Raw genomic sequence first — 19,178 nt, 5'->3', positions numbered from 1 at the left:
GCTGGGCACAGTGGCTCACACCTGTAATCCCAGCACTTTGGGAGGCTGAGGTGGGCGGATCATGAAGTCAAGAGATTGAGACCATCCTGGCCAACATGGTGAAACCTCGTCTCGAATAAAAAAATATATACACAAAAAATTAGCCGGGCATGGTGGCACATGCCTGTAGTTCCAACTACATGGAAGGCTGAGGCAGGAGGATCGCTTGAACCCGGGAGGTGGAGGTTGCAGTGAGCCAAGATTGCGCCATTGCACTCCAGCCTGGCGACAGAGCAAGACTCTGTCTCAAAAAACAAAACAAAACAAACAAAATACCAGTTTGTTGAATGAGTACGTTAAAAAAAAAAAAAAGAAAAAGGAAAGAAAAAGAGGAATGATGAAAGATAAAAGTGAGGCCAAGAAACACACAGGAAATGAAACTCACTGTATCCTCCATGGCTCTGCTGTAGGTTCGGTCTGGGTGACAAATTACAACTCTTCTGGTCAAAAACACAAACATCTCACCACTGCCACCAATGCTGCCACCAAACAGCAAGTCAAAAGAACTGGGTGTTCTAGCTCTGGCTCTGATATTAACTACAACTTTTTGCAAAATGAAGGACTTTACCCTTTAAGACCTTATTTGCAAAATGAAAGAGCTGTCTTTAGCTTTAAAATTCAAACATTCTAAATTCAGTATATGATTTGGTATACCCATCTCTGCTTATTCCACTTCTCCTTTTCAATAAAAAGCCTATCTAGCACATAAATCCTTTATCTGAAACCTGTGTCTAGGCACACCTCCCCACCTCCACGTTCCATCTCAATGCCCCCAGCCTCGGGGTCCATGTGCATGAGCACTCACAGAGATGCCACGGCTTCTCTCTCTTTCACTTGTTATCTCTAGACAGAAAAGAACGATATAAAGAAATCTCAATCTTCCAATTGGGCAGGTCCACCTCTGATGTGGCAACTCTGCAGCTGGACGGGATCCACGTGAGATCGCGGAGTTCTGGGCCTGGCCTCAGATTGGTCACTTCACACTGCTAGACATCTTCCAGTTGACGTAAAACTAAAACAGACACTCCCGGAGAAAAACCAAGTGCAGATTTTTGTGGTCCAGGCCTCTAGTCGGAAACCGACCTTTTGATAATTTTTTCCCTTAGGATCTTTGGAAGAATTAAACTTTAATTCTGAGAAAGACTTATCCCAGAGAAGACTATGAGTTTTTATAGTACCAACTAGAACATAAAACCAAGTATTTCCCATGAGGTGAAAGGAAAGGACAGGGAGTAAAGAATCCACACTTAGGTGGCTAGAGAATGAAGGAACATAAAAACCAAAAAATAAAAAGAGTGACTTTCCAATTTGGGTTCATTTGTAAAATCACTATTTCACAGAAGCAGTGGAAAGGGGTAGGGGAGAAATGAAACAAACCACAAAACCCAACTATCCCCTCACACTCAGAGCACTAGGAAAGAGAAAATTTCCTCTGACTTGCCTTAGGACCAATTAAGCAAATAAAGGAAAATCACTCAGCTACTCCCACACCCCCTTCTCCCAGCTCTACCAAGAGACAGCTTCCCCTTCTGCCCCAAACCCAAAAATAACCCAGGCTATTGGTAATATTCTCACCTATATTCAAAGTTTACCTGCTCTGGGGCTAATTTCCACATTTTTGGTCCTACATCTCTACACTTTCCTTGGGTTCACCAGAATAATAATCCTTGGATTCACAAGAAATATTAAAATTTGAAATATAAAATTCAAGTATATTTTTAAAACTTTCAAAAATACCCATTTTGCTAAGTGTATAAACAGAAAATTAATGCTAAGTCTGTGCAACATGAGATCTTCATTAAAAGAGCAAAATCAAATCCAAAACCTGACCAGGGAGCACCAAGATCCCCACTTCCCGGATTGACGACTCCTTCATTCCATGCTCTTGGCTCCTAATTTGCCCTCAAAGGGGTCACCGAGAGCCCTCCATCTGTCTGACCCCCTCAGTTCCATCCTCCCACTCACCAACAGCGCCACGGGGCTCCCAGGCAGTTGGTACCACAGCTGCCGCTGCCTGGCATGAGAACTCGGGCCGAGACCAGAGGGAACCACCGCATTAAAGGAAATGCTGACTGTGAACAGAGGCTGCAGATGAAAGGTTTACTTCTACTCCATTGTTGACAGCAGATGCACTGGTGCCAAAAAAAAAACCCCATTCTTCAATGACCAAATGTATGGAGGATTTTGTTCCTCAGAAAACATGCAAGAGCCAATTAACATAGTCCTATGTTCAAAATACATATTAAATATAAGGGGTTTTAAGACACTGAAGAATCTCAACTCAGCCTACTTATTTCCACCCAAGAAAACAGTAAGTTAACAGGAATCCTCTCCCAGAAACATCTACTAGGAAACCTAGGGCTGAATTACACAGGTTTATAAGCACCTCGTTCCAGAGAGAGAAAACTCAATTGTTCTCTAATTGTTTCATAAGTGTAGGCTGATCTCTATACTAGACTAATCTGTCCTGCAGCAAGGACCGATTTCTCTGGCACAGAATCTTGCACTTAAGCATATGGTTGGGCATTTGGTAGACAATGCAAATATTTGCTAATTTGTCTAAAAATTGTTTTAAAGCAATTTTTTAGGTTTGTTATTTTTAGAAAGAATGTTAAGTTGTCCCCCCCCCCCCTTTTTTTTTTTTTTTTAAACTGGGAACATACAGCTAACCCTATTTGATAAAGAAAGAAAGAAACTCTCATTGAGTTCTTTATTGCCTGAATTAGAAGGCAGGGGGAGTGACTGTTTTGAGGAGGGAGGATCTCACTTTATTTTGCCTTCATTCAGCTGCCTACCCCTACCTCCATCACAGCACAAAATGTTCAATAAATGGCTCAGTGCATTAAATCTTCTTAAGTTAGGATCAGAGATGCAGTTCTGCCATCTTGGTCATTTCTGCCATTGGTTTTACTCCTTCTTTCTTATTTTTCCTTGGTCCCCAAACAAGTGGTATTCAGAAGACATCTGGAAGTACTCAGCTCAAGAGCTCAGTGAGGACGGCACCCCAACCTCCCTCTTCTAAACCAGAAGCTGACACCAGAAAGTTACAAGTTGTCCTCCTGGAAGATAAAGGTTATCTTTCCAGGTAGGAATCACGCCCCCACCTGAGGAATTTCACCTTCTGGCATTATGTAAAACATATCTGGATGGCATAAATGTCTTTGAGCAATGGAGATGCAAATTAGAATGTTTATACAATAGATGTAACTAAACCATAGACTTTACATTAAAAGATAAGTTTTAAAATTCCCTTCAAACATTTCACTTCACACTACTAATCTTAATTTTGGAGAAATTGGTACCACTTTAAAATTTCAGTGACAGAATGTATGCTCTAATTCTCCTCATTCAAACACAATGCTGCTGTTTATCCATGCAGTAGAAAAAGAAATATTTTTTTTCTTGGTTTTAAAAAGTACAGCATTTGGGTTACTTTTAAAACCCATAATTGAATAACATTCTGTATTATATTTGTGACTCACTCTCAAGTGAAATGTCACCGTATACCCACTCTTCTTTTTTAGGTGATAAATAATAAAATATTAGAACAGAACTTTAGTTATAAAGTTCCTTACAATTTACAGGGAACAAGTCCTTCTAAAATAATAAAAATTAAGAGACTCTGTCATCTTGTTTTTACTTTTTTACGGTTTAGAGCCCAGGAAAAATTAACTGGGTCTGAGGAGGTATTAATCAAAAAAAATTTTTTCGTGTTCACATTGTTACCCCAGTGTCTCCCAAAACAATAAATAAGACACCTGAAAACCTTCCTGAAACTTTCTGGTAACCGAAATCTTCTCTCTCTTGATTGGGTTTTGGATCCTATAGGTGTATCTATTTTTTGAAACACAAACTGTACTCTTATGATCTCTATGTTTTACTGTATATAAATTTTGGCTCCATAAAAAGGTTCTCTAAACCTTTCTGCAAACTGCATTTCAATATCTATAATCAGTCGTCCATCTCAGATCTGAGTTTTTCGCGGGTTATTAACAAGATCCTAAAGCCAAAAAGAATTCCCCCTACCCAAAAGCCATGGACTAACCTCCCCACCTTGCCCCACATCCTCCGGACATTTTCATCTCAAATCCGTCTTCGAATTGGAATTCCCCAAGATAAGAAATTCCACACACCTCAACTGACTGAGAAGGCATCTTCAGTTTGGTGAGCTTGGCTTTGGCAGGCACTTTCAAGTCTGTTTTTTCAAAGGTCTGCTGTCGATAGTCCTCCGGCAGTGGTTTCAGTTCAGGGGATTCACTAGGGGCCTGATCTTGACCATCCATGGGCCGGACATAAGCCGTGGGCTTCTGCTGCATTGCAACACTTTTTGAGGGGAGGGAGGGAGGTGGAAATGTCTGAGAAGGCGGCTGGGCAGGGGCCACCAAACTGTCTTGAGGGGTCTCTTTATCATGGACTTTCACTGCTAGGTCCTTGGGAGATTTGGCTGGGCAATAGCCTTTACTGTTATTGCTGCTGCCATGAACCTTGCTGCTTCCTTGCGTCCGGGGAAGAGTTTGCTGGTTGGAATGTATAGGTGACAAAGGGGGAACTGGGGAAGGCAAAGAGATTAAGGGAGAAAGCTCCCTCTCTGGAGCCGAATCTGTCACCGAAGCACAGTGGTCTCCGTCAGCTCTTCGGTCACCTTTCTTGTGATGACTAGAGCCGAACCCCTCCTGACCAAGGCGATCCTGGGTCAGGTGCTGGCTGTCCGGTGGGCCGCAGCTTTTGGCATGGAGACTTGGCATTGGTTCAGTTCTTGGCTGCGCCATCTTTGGATTGTGGCTAATGTTGCCAACAGAAAGTGGTCCAGACGCAGGAGTGTGAATGGACTGGTGGTGGACACTAGTGTGGAAGGAGCTGGATGGAATGCTGCTCCCTTTGTCAGGAATTAAAGGATATTTCGGCTTTCCCAACCTATTTTCAGAAGCATCCAGGCGATGAGTGTGAGACTTAGTACTAAGGAACTCCTTCACTTCTTCGTAGTTTCCCAACATGTTCTGTATTCGACTAGACAGCTCATCACCTTTTGCTGTCTGAAAAAAAAGGAGAATTTGAGAATGAAAAAAAACTAAGGAAAACTACCATTTAACAAACCACGTTATATAATACTATTAAGGAAAAAACTCCGAACTTAATGTACGACATGTAGAATTTAATGTGCCATTTTAACTCAATTCCCCTGTTGAGAAGACTACCATGGATACATATTACTAACTGTAGAAGACTAGCATTACAAAAGAAAACCACAAACTTTGGTAATTCTAACAACCTTCAGAGAATTTTCATACTTTGTTTTCAAAAATCTCTAGAATAAGTTAGAATAAGTTATCTTATTTTCACAGCTGTGACCCTTGTTCGAACTCAATTATACTGAATTGTTTCATCATAGGGTTCAACATTGTGATAAATCAGGACTTCAATGTCTAGTGTTCAGTAAATACCTTGTAGGGCTCTCCAAAAAGGGGAATCTTTTCAGGAAATGCCTCTTTCTCTTGGTGGGCTTCCTGGTTGCGTCTTTCCTTCTCTCTAATTCGAAGCAGGTTTCTGTCGTCATTGTACAAACTGTTTCAGATGCCACAAAAGAATGAAAACAATAAAATTTATCAGTCTCCAAGTTTTGTCAGGCATACTTACATGTGAGAAGGGAGGTGAGGACAGGTCTGGGAAGAAGCAGTGATGACGGCTGTGATTTAAAGAAAGCCTAAGTTCCTTAACCCAGCCTTAGGGTGAGGCCTCAGTCACTTGGCTGTGACCCTCCAGCCTGGGGTCCTGGCTCCCAAAACCCAAGCATTCACTCTGGGCCATGGTCTCCATCATGGCTCAGGACTGGTTCCAAACTGAACAGCCTTTTATAGGCAGCAGTGGAACTGAGACAAGATTAATGATATTTTTATTTTCAGCTTGCAAAATATGGGGTAGAGGTGGAAGCTTTTCATCTGCAGGAGTCAGCAGGATGTGGACTTTAGAAAGGCCGTTTTCCTGGATCAGTAGCGTACATTTTGAAAGATTAAAATCAAAAGGCTTATTTCATAATTAAAAGATTACCAGGCACCCAAAACAGCATTTACTTTCTCAGCCTACTCTACTGGGAGTGTCTTGGCATGTAAACCCCACAAAAAATGATTTTTATTTCTCATTTCAAACGTCAAGGATGAGAAAATCCAATTATAGATGTCAGCTCTACCGACGGAGAACGCTTTATAATCTGACTGCCCTACTTAAAACACATAAAAATGTATCCTAAATCATCAGCCCTGGCACTAAAGGGGTTAAACGGCATTCACCGAGAAACAAATCAGAGATGGAGACCAAAAGTAGTGCAGTTTTAACCAACACATAAACCAAAAGTGGACCTGCCTCATTGTCAGCACCAAGGGTCACTTCCCAGCCCTCACACGCAATGTATGATTAAAAAGTGAAATAAGAACTATAAAATGACTTCTGTCTTCACAGACTTGCTCCTAGGGAATCTACTGAATGTTTTCTCCCAATGCCGTTTGAACAAACAGGAAAATATTTGATTGTCTAGTTAAGGCTGTCGGTCAGTACCTTCGGAAATTCTAGCCCTGATGTCAGACGCCCTTCCCCACCCCCTTTCCTGGCCTCTTTGCCCTCTTCTGACTTCTCTTATTTCCTTTGACAAAAGCCTACTGGTCTCCCTGCCTCCCCCACATCTTATCCCTTTAATTCAGCCTTCTCATGAAAAGAAACCTGATTTAAGGCCCTGGTTCTCATGTCACAATCCATATTTTAAAATAACAAGCATTTGATGGCTCTTTACTACTGCAGAATAAACTCTAAATTCTTGCTTTGGCATTAAAATTCCCCCATAATCTGACGCAGATCTACTCTCTAGAAATTATCTACTGTCCCCTTGCAGGCCTGTCACATGCATTCTACTTGACAGTCAGTCAGTCACGTCCATCCCCTGAGCATACCCTGTAAGGCAGCCTCTTGCTCTAATTTCCACCAGGCTCTCTTTACTGAAAGATAACCAATTCTTCCAGAGCCAGCTTCCCTAGGAAGTATGACTCTCTTACAAACTACCTCTACATTCCAGTCACACCTGACTACTCCCCATTCCTCAGTGATATCCTAGACTTTGATGCTTTCATTCCAGCCACAAATTTCCACTGCTTCTCTCTCCACCACACACCCCCATCCTTAATTTTCAGCTTCTGGCAAATCTCTGGAATGATTCAAATGTCACTCACTCTAAAGGCTTCCTCAAATCCACCAAGTATGTGCTTACCTAACACATCAATTAGTTCTCTCTCCTCCTCCCTTCTCCCCTAGCATGTGAACTCCATCAGAAACGAACCTCGCAAATTTAGCACCTCTCTTGGTGCTAAAGCATGGTACTCTGCATAGAAGCTAATCATTAAATACTTTTAGATTAAAAAACAGCCACTACACTTACGTATTTTTACAAACTTACAACTATTTAAAAAAGATTTAACTCTGGAAGACACATGCAAAAATTATTTTAAAAAATCATCTAAAAAGTAATCTAGTATTTCTATAGCCTTTTAATCTATGGGAGTAGGATGTATGGAGAGAAATTAGCTGCCTGACTGAATTCACTACAATGTGGTAAATAATTATCTCCTTAGGCCAGGCGCAGTGGCTCACACCTGTAATCCCAGCACTTTGGGAGGCCAAGGCAGGTGGATCACGAGGTCAAGAGATCGAGACCATCCTGGCCAACATGGTGAACCCTATCTCTACTAAAAATACAAAAATTAGCTGGCTGTGGTCGCAGGCGCCTGTAGTGCCAGCTACTCTGGGGGCTGAGGCAGGAGAACTGCTTGAACCCAGGAGGCGGAGGCTGCAGTGAGCTGAGATCGCACCACTGTACTCCAGCCGGGGCAACAGCGCGAGACTCCGTCTCAAAAAAAAAAAGAAAGAAAGAAAGAAAAAATTATCTTCTTAGACCTGTGTGTATCAAAAACTTTTCCTAGATGATGGATATTGCAATATCAGATTTTAAAAGAACTCTTAAAACCACAAAGTTAATAATTTATGCCAGTCAAAATACTGAAAAGAAGAAGCTGCTGAACCAGAAACTGGTCGTGTAATCTTCTGTAATGAAGTCTGAGTCTCACCTGTTTCAGTTAAACTTACTTCCAGTTGGCAGTAGCACACTGGACTTGATGACACTCAATTCCTTCAATTATTTTATCATTTTGGTAATTCCTCTTGTTGGTTCAAAAGATCATATGCCATTAGCATATAACCATAGAAGCCAAGTAAGCAGGCTGATTAGGAAATCACTTTTTCCTTCAAACTTGTTTTATAGCCACTTTGAGCCAGTTTTTGCAGGGAGGAGCTAAGCAGGCAACCATCCTCTGAGCATCTAAGCTTCTATTCTCCCAAACTATCCAGTGCATGCACCTTGCAGCAGTCAAGACAGGCCTATGGGTGAGCGGGTGGGGAAAGCTTACCATGGGCATGTGCTTGTCTGCTTGGCTATTCTCACCACCAAGGGAGTTCTCCCCTCTCTGATATGCCACTTAAAACAGCAGAGCCCCTATAGCCAGTCAGTGTTCACAGCCTTAGGCTCCGCTTCACAGGGCAGAGCTCCGCCCCTTCTAAATAAATGCTACCTTTGTCTCAGAGAAGGGAACTCCAAATGGCAATTCTCAGTCCAGGATCCAAAAGGGAGGGTGTGAACAGTTACACCTCAACTAACAGGCTGCTCAGAGTCCTCAATTTTCTCATCAATTCCACACACTCAATTTTCCTTTAACGAAGTTACATTACTAAAATATTTTTAAATCAATCAACTCAGCCTTGTATTAGCCTTATTTCAGCATCAGTTGGGTTTCTCCCATACTTCCAGATTTTCATTCCAAAATACTGAAAATTGCCACAGAAATAACCAGAAGAACACAATTAAGCCATTCTTTCACAGAATTCCTAACACTGGTTTATTACTATGTGATTCTAAAATCAAGAATTCTCCCACAGGGAGGAAATCCTATTAAATTAAGGATTCTAGTTAATTAAGGTTTTACTTCATTAGTGTCAAAAAAATTTTTTTAAACCCACGTTAAGATTTTATCGGCAGACATGTAATTCTACACCTATTTCGAGACAAATTTTCTTTTTATGATTCACCATCACCCTTCAACTAAAAGCCCTATAAGTAGTGAGGTGAAAAAAGACATCATGGATATCACTGGTAGGATGAGTTTTATGAGGTCCAGGCTTTGTGAAAGACACTTGCTCTCCCCACACTGTCCAACAACTCCCTCTTGGGTGGAACTCACAAAAGCTCCTGGGCAGGGCAGAGGAAGACCGAAGAGGCAGGAAGTTCACAGAGTAGAGGTAGGCTTTGAGCCCCTGCTCTGGGTTGCCTCCTTTCTCCTTGCAACTAAATTGTTTTGCCAGTCACATTAAATAGCTTTCTGGTTTCTTGCTGCAAATTTGCAATGGCTTAGGGAATGATCTGTTAAAAGCTCCCAGGCAAATCTTTTGTGAATATTTTCTTTTTCTTGGTTCCATTTTGAGATAAAGGAATATGAAATTTTAAAAATAAACCCACTATTCATACCATGAGTAAACCTTTGTTGAGCCTATACACATCACTGTTTAAACCAAGGTGTAAGCAAGGAAGGGGCAGATGGGAAAATTTTTTAATGAGGGAATTTTAGGAGGCGGCAAATACCCTACATGATTCACAAACTCTGTAGCAACTTTTTTTTTTTTTTTTTTCCAGATGGAGTCTCGCTCTGTCGCCCAGGCTGGAGTGCAGTGATCTCAGCTCACTGCAACCTCTGCCTCCTGGGTTCAAGTGATTCTCCTGTCTCAGCCTCCCGAGTAGATAGCATTAGATGCACCCGACACCACGCCTGGCTAATTTTTGTATTTTTAGTAGAGACAGGGTTTCACCAAGTTGGCCACACGGGTCTCAAACTCCTGACCTCAAGTGATCCACCCACCTCAGTCTCCTAAAGTGTTGAGATTATAGGCGTGAGCCACCACGCCCAGCTGTCAATAATCACCTTTCAATAACTATAAGTTAACTGTCACTTTAATAAAGGTGTCTTTTTTTTTTTCCAGTCCTGTGTTAAGGAAAAATGTATCCCAACATCAGCCTGGCCATTCTTTCCCACTGTTCCGAATAGAATATAGTGAGTTACAAGTTCTCCTTAGCTGATTTTAGATGGTACTTTGCATTAGCTAAGAGGTTCTCAAACCTGAGTCAGTTAGCTGGAGGGTTTGTCAAAACACAGATCACAGAGACCTACAGAGTTTCTAAGGCAGTAGGCCTGACATGGGCCCCAAGGCTTGTATGTTGAACAAGTTTCCAAGGGATCTCCAGGGGTAAAAGACAGCACATCCTTTTTGGGGCTTACCAAAATACAAAAGCAATGATAACAGCAGCAGCAGCCTGGCCAAGGAATGACATCACTTAACATGTTAGTCAACACTGATTTTGGCACTATCACATCAGTTTTCTATTTAATTTTCACAACAACCCTGTGAGAGTGGGATTATTAACCCCATTTTCCAACTGAACGAAAGCTAGCTCAGAGATTGACTTGCGGCCAGGTGGGGTGGCTCACGCCTGTAATCTCAGCAATTTGGGAGGCCAAGGTGGGCGGATCACTTGAGGTCAGGAGTTCGAGACCAGCTTGGCCAACGTGGTGAAACCCTGTGGCTACTAAAAATACAAAATATTAGCTGGGCGTGGTGGCGCACACCTGTAATCCCAGCTACTCAGGAGGCTGAGGCAGGAGAATCACTTGAACCCGGGAGGTAGAGGTTGCACTGAGCCGAGATCATGCCACTGCACTCCAGCCTAGGTAACAAAGCAAGACTCCATCTCAAAAAAAAAAAAAAAAAAAAAAGCAGGGCATGGTGGCTCACGCCTGTAATCCCAGCACTTTGGGGGGCTGAGGAGGGTGGATCGCCTGAGGTTGGGAGTTTGAGACCAGCCTGGCCAACATAGTGAAACCCTATGTCTCTACTAAAAATACAAAAAATTAGCTGGGTGTGGTGGCAGGCGCCTGTAATCCCAGCTACTACGGAGGCTGAGGCAGGAGAACTGTTTGAACCTGGAAGGCAGAGGTTGTTGCTGTGAGCCGAGATTGCGCCACTGTACTCCAGCCTGGGCAACAAGTGTCAAAGTCTGTCTCAATTAAAAAAAAAAAAAAAGGGTGAGGGGATTGACTTGCTCACAAATGGTAGACCTGAACATTCACCAATGCCTGGCAAGAAAGCTTATACTCTCAGCCACAGTTCTGCTAGCAAAGCTGTCAGGCTGCGTTAAATAAAGCAGTGAAGACAAAGAAGGTGTGCTAAAGTGTGCTAACTTATAACCACTCATATTTCTTTAGTCTCAAAAAGGTACACATCAACAATTTAGTATCATCTCCGCCAGCAGGGTCATCTCAGAGCCACAAAATTGATGTTTGGTTAAACTGATCCACACAGGCCTGTCCTTGAGGAACGACCTAACAGAGGACCCCTTTGAGAGAAGGATGGCCAATGGCATGAAGCTGCTCTTTCAGTTATAAAAACTGTGGGCCGGTCACAGTGGCTCACATCTGTAATCCCAGCACTTTGGGAGGCCGAGGTGGGAGGATCACCTGAGGTCGTCAGGGGTTTGAGACCAGCCTGGCCCACATGGCGAAACCCTGTCTCTACTAAAAATACAAAAATTAACCGGGCGTAGTGGCACGTGCTTGTAATCCCAGCTACTTGGGAGGCTGAGGCAGGAGAATCGCTAGATCTCGGCTGCAGTGAGCCGAGATCGCGCCACTGCACTTCAACCTGGGCTACAGAGCGAGACTCCATCTCAAAAATAAATAAATAAATAAATATAAAAACTGTGTTACAATTCTTGTTTCAGAGCCTCTGATGTGCCCCTGGGAAGGAGGATGCAAAGTCTGACCACTCCACAGACACCATGAGTTCTACTGGAAGTCTGCAAAAATCTATTTAAATAGGGAAATAATTCTCCTTTCAGTAGCCAAGTTCTTGCCTTCAGATCATATACTACTGTCCACCATCTTTGAGGTTCAACCTGATGTATCAAAAGATCTCTACAGAATTCATCAAGCCACCTCCTCCACATTTGTATTTTAGTTAAGTGAACTAGAAATGGGGAGAACCACAGGCTTCAGTGTCCAGTGCCTGGTGAGATCAGTCACATGTGAAAACTCACCTGCAGAACATAAACACTCAAGCCATGAAAGGGGGACTGTGCCACAGACGTTTCACTGACCGAATCCACTAACTCAGCACAAGAGCTTGAATGAAGCTTTGGAAAGCTAAAACGTGCCAGAATGCTCTCACTTTCAGAAAGGTGGTGAAAATCCTGAGGAATTCAGAGCTGCCTGTTCAGCCCCTCAATACAGTCATTTAGTCAACCCCATGCTGGGGCCTGTCAGGGCACATTTACTGACTTTTCAAATGCTTCTTGGGGGTAGGGATGGATGTGTTTAAAATATTGTGGTAAAATGTAAGAAATCACAACTCTGTAAGGATTAGTGAGAGTGATTCCTTTTTCTCTTTCCTTCACACTAAAAAAGGAAATAGCATATGTGGATGAGGAAAAGATAGTAACAGAAAGGCCCAAGTTGGGCATGAGACGTGGGGCAGTGTGTTGGCTCTGGTATCATCTGGCTGTAAGCACCTTCTCCCAGGCTGGAGCCCATGGGCCCTGCTGCTAAACTAGGTTAGTCATGCGGGATTGCTGAATGCCATTCGGTGCTTCCATGGCAACTCACGGCCCACAGGGCTGGCTGTGCACAGCTGACTACCCATTTATCACCCTTGACTGGTCACTTCACATAGGCCTTCCTCTGATACATGTCACCAACTCTCTAGAATTCGAGTTTAAATTTTTAACTCTCTCTTGGATGACAGAGTGTGATTTCTCCTATATATTTATCTTCATAAGGATGGAGACATCTGGCAGGAAGGAAAGGGAAAATCCTAAAATCAACAGTGTACATTAACTCTGGAAAGGATTAAGTCTTATTACTGTTTAGAAGCACTATGCCATTCTGATTTGAATGTACAAAGGATAGAGCAACAAATAAACACAAAAGTTCGGCAATCCCAGCTTAGAGGATGGTGAGATAGAGATCTGTCACAAACAGGGAGGCAAAAAGACAGGATGCTAGGGTTCTTCCACACCATGTAAGTGACTTTTTCATTTTAAAAGCCACATCTCAACTTTCTAAGTCCATCTTTTGGCCTTTTGTTTCCACATTCCCCTATTCCTACCATCTAACATGCGGGAAACATTTTTCACACATTGGCTTTATGAAAAAGCATCAACATACCTCCAAGCACAATACTAGTTTGACTTCCAAATACAATTTAAACATGAGAAATCAAAGTGACTCCATGTCTGAAGGCAGGATAAAATGTTGCTTCAAAGAAGGGAGATTTTTTTCGTCTCTCCATCCATGTGAAAGAATTTGTAAGAGACTTTCTCATAATAAAAATCACTCAGCTAAATCGTCCCAGGGTTTTCACTCTCAATAACTAACATGAATAACATTCTTAAAATTTATAAAGAAAGTAATCAGAGACTTAATCCTAAAACAAAGTCTTACAATCTGATTTCATATTAAAAATATCAGCCAACTACAATGACAAAACAGCACGATGTCAGTTGTTTTCCTGGAAGAGCCCCCAGGGGATTATCTCAATGCATTAGCACTCTCTGCTACTCACTTCTGTTTGCCACAGAAGGCTCAGTCTTATTATAATTTATTATAGTATTTATTTTTAAAGTTTTATGTGACCCCATTTTGCAAAATTAAATCAACCTTGAAAACACTGCCCACATAACTTCTTGCCATTCTCTAGGAGGGTGATACATGACAGTGAAATTTACATTCTTGGTACCCATCATAAACACTCTCCAGGACTCAGAGCCAGTAAGATATTTTGCATATCTTAAATGCATCCTGCAAGTTTTAAATTGAGAACGACTCTACACTTGGGCAAACGTGACTAAAAAGTCACATCAATTCTAAGGAGAGACATGTTAATTTACCTTTCAAAATGAACTTGCCAGGTACTTCTGTATGCCTATTAATATGTAGCAAAGGTCTGAAAGGATACATTTCACAAAAACCTACCAAGCAGGGCCGAGAGCAGTGGTTCATGCCTGTAATCTCAGCACTTTGGGAGGCCGAGGCGGGCAGATCACTTGAGGTCAGGAGTTCAAGACTAGCCTGGCGAACATGGTGAAACCCCATCTCCACTAAAAATACAAAACATTGGCCGGGTGTGGTGGTGTGTGCCTGTAATCCCAGCTACTCAGAAGGCTGACTCAGGAGAACTGCTTGAACCCAGGAGGTGGAGGTTGCAGTGAGCTGAGAACGCGCCACTGCACTCCAGCCTGGGTGACAGAGCAAGACTCCATCTCAAAACAAAAACAACCTACCACCAAGCAGCATGGGATTAGGGTGCAGAATGTTAAGTGGTGATGTGGTTTGGGGAGCATTTTGTTAACGTTGTTTTTAAATTCTTTTCACAATGAGAAAGCATCTATTATTTGTATAAAAGTTCTGATTAAAAACTAAAAGAGCCTCATATACTATAGCAACATCAGACTGGGGATAAAGAAATACTGGAGTGTTAATCATTTTTGCAGTAACTCTCATTAGAAGCTCTGAAAACTGATTTTGGGTTCTGAACTCAGTCTTAGACTGTTAGCAAGTAATTTTAGATCCATCTGCGTAAAGCAGAATCTCAAATTAGCTGGGCATGGTGGCACACTCCTGTAGTCCCAACTACTTGGGAAGCTGAGATGGGAGGATCACTTGAGCCTGAGAGGCAGAGGTTACAGCGAGCCCAGGTCACACCCTGCACTCCAGCCTCAGCGATGGAGCAAGAAGCCGTCTCAAAAAAAGGGGGGATGGGGGAGGGGAGAGAGAGAAAAAAAGCAGATACTTGCTGCCATATTAGAGAATATGTTCTAACATTCAAACACCAGTAGCTGATGTTTCTTAACTGGGGTAGTTAATATAACCCATTTTGTTTCTCTTAATAGATCTCATAAGTCTATTTTGAGAGGTATTTTTTACCTTACAGATAGAAAAACACAAGAACTTGTCTTCCTCATCAATTGGTTTTTAAGGGAGTAAGGAAAACTGTGTGGTTGGACATACATAGCTCCAACAGAAAAGTAGCATGACAGAGGGAGAGGAGACAGATGAGCTAATGTATTCCCATGTGCAGCACACCAAGCCTCTCATCTTCCAAACATATTTTAAAAATAAAAAACTAGTACTGAGTGAGCAAGGCCAGCACGTATATAGAACAATTACACAAACCACACCAGTGAAAAAAAATCACTTCTCACCTCAAAAGTCTGGCAATCTACAGCTAGGGGTTAATAAAACATGTCTTTATGTTATATGCAATGTCAGCGTATTGATGTTACTGACAAATTTCAGAAAATTCAGTCCCTGAGACTGATGTCAAGTGCTTACCAGCAGTCAAGCAAGGGGATATACAGAAATTACCCTCCACAATGGCAACAGAGATAAACCAATTTTTTTAACCTGAGATAAAGTCTGTCACCTGACTAGTTATTTATGTCTCCCCTTTAGTTGTAAAGGCCCCTGGTGAGCACAGCTGCACAGTGCCTCATTGGCACTGCTCATTTGGCACCAATCAGAAATGTGGATACGTGTTGGCTCTTCTCCTGCTCTTCTGGTCTGTACTAGGATCAACCAGAGTGCTGGCCTCATTACCAGGCCACTCATGTCACACTATCAACTGACCCTGAAGGACCACATCTCATACCTGCAAAATAATGAGGCTGGTGAAAGTCTCTCATGACAGCCACAAAAATTAAAAATCCTACAGTTACAAACTAAGAATGTAGACAAGCAAGCTTAAAGTCTTTTTCTTAATGCTTTCTTCCTTTAATTCATTCCCCAACTTTTAAAAAATGTTTTGGGTATTAAATCTATGAAGCATCCAACATTCAAATAAAATGGACTTCACTTCTCATTTGGAATGTGGCCCCGAGAGGCTCCTCTTTCTGGGTTGTCCATCTCCACAAAGCTGCGTCACTGATTTTTCTAAAAATCATAAACCTGATCTTGTTATTCACCTACCTAAAACCTTTCTGGGAGCCCTGGTGCCTACAGGACTAAAGCTCCTGAGTATTTTTTTTTTTTCCTTGGGACGGAGTCTTGCTCTGTCGCCGAGGCTGGAGTGCAGTGGCGCGATCTCCGCTCACTGCAAGCTCCGCCTCCCGGGTTCACATCATTCTCCTGCCTCAACCTCCTGAGTAGCTGGGACTACAGGCGCCCGCCACCACACCCAGCTAATTTTTTTTATTTTTAGTAGAGATGGGGTTTCACCATGTTAGCCAGGATGGTCTCGATCTCCTGACCTCGTGATCTGCCCTCCTCGGCCTCCCAAAGTGCTGGGATTACAGATGTGAGCCACCATGCCAGGCCTCCTGGGTGAGTATTTCAAGCAGTACTTCTGCCAGCCTCAGCCCTCCCAGGTAAGAGCACCCTTCCTGCGTTCTGCCTCACTTTCTACCCTTCAAGCACAAGGAGCAGGGAGGCTCTGGGAAGCACAGATCTTCTCCCTGCCTGGTCTCTAACTGTTGCCTTTCAAAAGTCTTCCTCAGTATCCCTGCCTCCATTTCTGGGATACCTAGGCTGTCTACGTTTATATTTACCCAAACTAGATAGACTTTATATATGTGTGCCTACAGATTTTCCTTATTAGACTGTGAGCTTCTCCTTAAGGGCACAGACTATTCCGAGGGTTCCTTACCCAGCACAGCGCTTAATAAATGCGATGCTTAATACATATCTTTGACTGAAATAATTATATTCAAGCATTACTCAATTTCCAATGATTCAGAATTCTGCTGAATTCTGCCAGTCTATTTATTATCTAACGACAAAATGTGACTCATTGATACCTAAAACTGATTTTACCAAATTCTTTTACCCATCAAATGAATCAAACCTAGAAGGCAGGCTGACAACACCCTTTCTTAGATGGACCAAGAGAGTTGCCTCAGCTAACACCACGTGTTAATCAGTTAATGTTACATGTTTTATTCTTCAGTTTACCATACTTATTAATTAGTCATAAAACCCCAAGTGCTCTACAGTAAAAGAAAAGGTACTACGTTTGGGTAACACTTAGAGAAAATACACATTTAGTTTTAAATCAACAGATTCAGAATAATTTTAGAAAGCTACCTCTAGGATGAAAACTTGGACAATAAACAAATCTCTCCATGCTGCTATAAATACATCATGGGGAACAACACAAGAAAATACAGGATCCAGAGAGAGAATTTTAAATGCAAGGCAAATTAAGCGGTCCTTCCACTGCTGAAAGCCCTCCACAGGTTTGCTATAGCATTCAAAGTTAAAATCCAGAAGCCTGGCCAACAAGGCCCCATTCCCAGCACACTTCCGAGATCTAGCATCCTTCCTCCCCCTATCCTCCCTGGAATACTAGCCAGACTGGCTGCCTTTTCATGCCTGGAGCAGGTCAAGCTGTGCATCGCTAATCCCCGTTTGCATGCTCTGTGCCTAAAGCTGAGGAAGACTCGCTCTCTCTCCACTAATATCTCAGGTTATAACTATCGGCTCCTCAGCCAGTCCCCGCCACCAGAGGTGCTCTCCAGCACTTCACCTTTCAATCCCCATCTAAAATGATCCTGCCTACTCACTCATCTGTTCCGTCATCATCTGACTCCCTGCACCCATCCCAAGGAAGAATGCATGTGGCTGCAGGTCAGTCACCCCTTCCCGCTTGATCCTATTTACCCAGCACTAACCCATCAGGTCATATGAATATTGGTTGAGTGAGATTTTGCACATCTAACTCTACATACAGATCCAGAGACTCAATAGTTTTTTTAAATAAATTTTGAAGTTAACCATTTAATAATAACATTTAAAAAAAAACAGGCAGTTATGAAGAACATTCTCTAAACTGATTAAAACATCAAATTTTCAAGTCCCACACAGAAAACAAGAAAAACAAATTATTCCCAAATTCATCTTGCCTCAAGAAGAAACTGCTGAAACGTCCCCAAGGTGATTTTAAAAGGCACCTCTTCTCTCAAATTATTCAGGAGCAAATTTGGTTTTAAGAAACAACTAACTTCTACAGCCCATAAGAGATCAAATGTACTAAGTGAATATACTGTTACTTAATTTAAGCACCAGAAAATCCCAAACATACACCAAACTGAATGAGGTACATTCTATAGAACAGCTTGGAACACAGGACAGGATTTACCATTCCAAAAGGAAGAGTCCCTCCCAGTCACTGAACTTCTAACGCACACATTCCAGAGAACCAATTGCACCACATACAATAAGAAAAACCTTTGAAACTGGGCCAATGTACCAAGCACAGCTTCAGCCAGAACAAATGCTCAGCATTTAGACTTGCTAACCAGCAGCAAAAAGCAACAGGAAAAGGCTTACACTTGGAAAATGAAAGGAAAAGTGTCTGTGTATTGATAAGAACAGTGGGGAACAACAGGATATTAAGGAAACTGGCAAGATGCAATTTATTTCTCTAAAGAAAAAACATTTATTCTTGTTTTGTTTTTTGAGACAGGGTCTCACTATCACCCAGTGCAGTGGCACAATCATGGCTCGCTGCAGCCTCCAACTTCTGGGCTCAAGGGATCCTCCCACCTCAGCCTCCTGAGTAGCTGGGACTACAGGCATGCACCATCATGCCCAGCTAATTTTTAAGTATTTTTGTAGAGATGGGGTCTTGCTTTGTTGCCTAGGTCGGTCTCAAACTCCTGGCCTCAAGCAATCCTCTTGCCTTGGCCTCCTAAAATGCTGGAACTACAGGTGTGAGCCCCTGCACACAGCTTGAAACATTTATTGTTGAACTGAGTACACAGGAACCCATCAACACATTTTTCAATTACTGAATAAACCAAAAAAAAATTGTAGGGCTCCTCCACTCTCCACTTCAAGCTCATTCTATCATGGGAGAGTATATCCAAAATTAAATGTCAAGGATCCTCCAACCCCCCAATCAACAACTGCTACAAGGAGAAACCACTGTCAATTACATTTTAAACAGGCTGCTGTGGACACATTCATAAAAAGAGACAAAATTCCTACAACTGAGAAGTTTTTTCTAGG

General features: G+C 42.3%; 1 protein-coding gene across 13 annotated transcripts in view, besides 5 other annotated features; it reads right to left on the bottom strand.

Moving 5' to 3' along the window:
• AFF1 (ALF transcription elongation factor 1) overlaps positions 1 to 19,178 on the bottom strand; it is a 206,029-nt gene that overhangs the window by 89,273 nt on the left and 97,578 nt on the right. For 10 of the 13 annotated variants that reach the window (XM_005263007.4, XM_047415702.1, NM_001166693.3 and 7 more), the window contains 2 exons: positions 5,481 to 5,601; positions 4,173 to 5,072 (listed from right to left, as the gene is read on the bottom strand). The exons of the other annotated variants lie outside the window; for them this stretch is intronic. In XM_005263007.4, the coding sequence (XP_005263064.1) occupies positions 4,173 to 5,072; positions 5,481 to 5,601 (1,021 nt within the window). The remainder of the gene's footprint in view (positions 1 to 4,172; positions 5,073 to 5,480; positions 5,602 to 19,178) is intronic. 13 annotated transcript variants of the gene reach the window in all.
• Positions 11,913 to 12,664: an enhancer, noted in NCBI's record as "NANOG-H3K27ac hESC enhancer chr4:87960255-87961006 (GRCh37/hg19 assembly coordinates)". NCBI's record gives its function as "activates a minimal SCP1, AML or CMV promoter by ChIP-STARR-seq in naive H9 embryonic stem cells {active_cell/tissue: H9 hESC(naive)}" and the evidence as "EXISTENCE:reporter gene assay evidence [ECO:0000049][PMID:30033119]".
• Positions 12,683 to 12,832: a silencer, noted in NCBI's record as "silent region_15554". NCBI's record gives its function as "represses an Ori minimal core promoter by ATAC-STARR-seq in GM12878 lymphoblastoid cells {active_cell/tissue: GM12878}" and the evidence as "EXISTENCE:reporter gene assay evidence [ECO:0000049][PMID:35858748]".
• Positions 13,818 to 14,318: an enhancer, noted in NCBI's record as "H3K4me1 hESC enhancer chr4:87958601-87959101 (GRCh37/hg19 assembly coordinates)". NCBI's record gives its function as "activates a minimal SCP1, AML or CMV promoter by ChIP-STARR-seq in naive H9 embryonic stem cells {active_cell/tissue: H9 hESC(naive)}" and the evidence as "EXISTENCE:reporter gene assay evidence [ECO:0000049][PMID:30033119]".
• Positions 14,319 to 14,819: an enhancer, noted in NCBI's record as "H3K4me1 hESC enhancer chr4:87958100-87958600 (GRCh37/hg19 assembly coordinates)". NCBI's record gives its function as "activates a minimal SCP1, AML or CMV promoter by ChIP-STARR-seq in naive H9 embryonic stem cells {active_cell/tissue: H9 hESC(naive)}" and the evidence as "EXISTENCE:reporter gene assay evidence [ECO:0000049][PMID:30033119]".
• Positions 17,326 to 17,827: an enhancer, noted in NCBI's record as "NANOG hESC enhancer chr4:87955092-87955593 (GRCh37/hg19 assembly coordinates)". NCBI's record gives its function as "activates a minimal SCP1, AML or CMV promoter by ChIP-STARR-seq in primed H9 embryonic stem cells {active_cell/tissue: H9 hESC(primed)}" and the evidence as "EXISTENCE:reporter gene assay evidence [ECO:0000049][PMID:30033119]".

The sequence above is a fragment of the Homo sapiens genome, chromosome 4 (assembly GCF_000001405.40).
Source record: "Homo sapiens chromosome 4, GRCh38.p14 Primary Assembly".
NCBI classification, from domain to species: domain Eukaryota; kingdom Metazoa; phylum Chordata; class Mammalia; order Primates; family Hominidae; genus Homo; species Homo sapiens.
The sequence above is the reverse complement of the archived record's forward strand: the minus strand, read 5'-3'. Positions and strand labels throughout refer to the sequence as shown.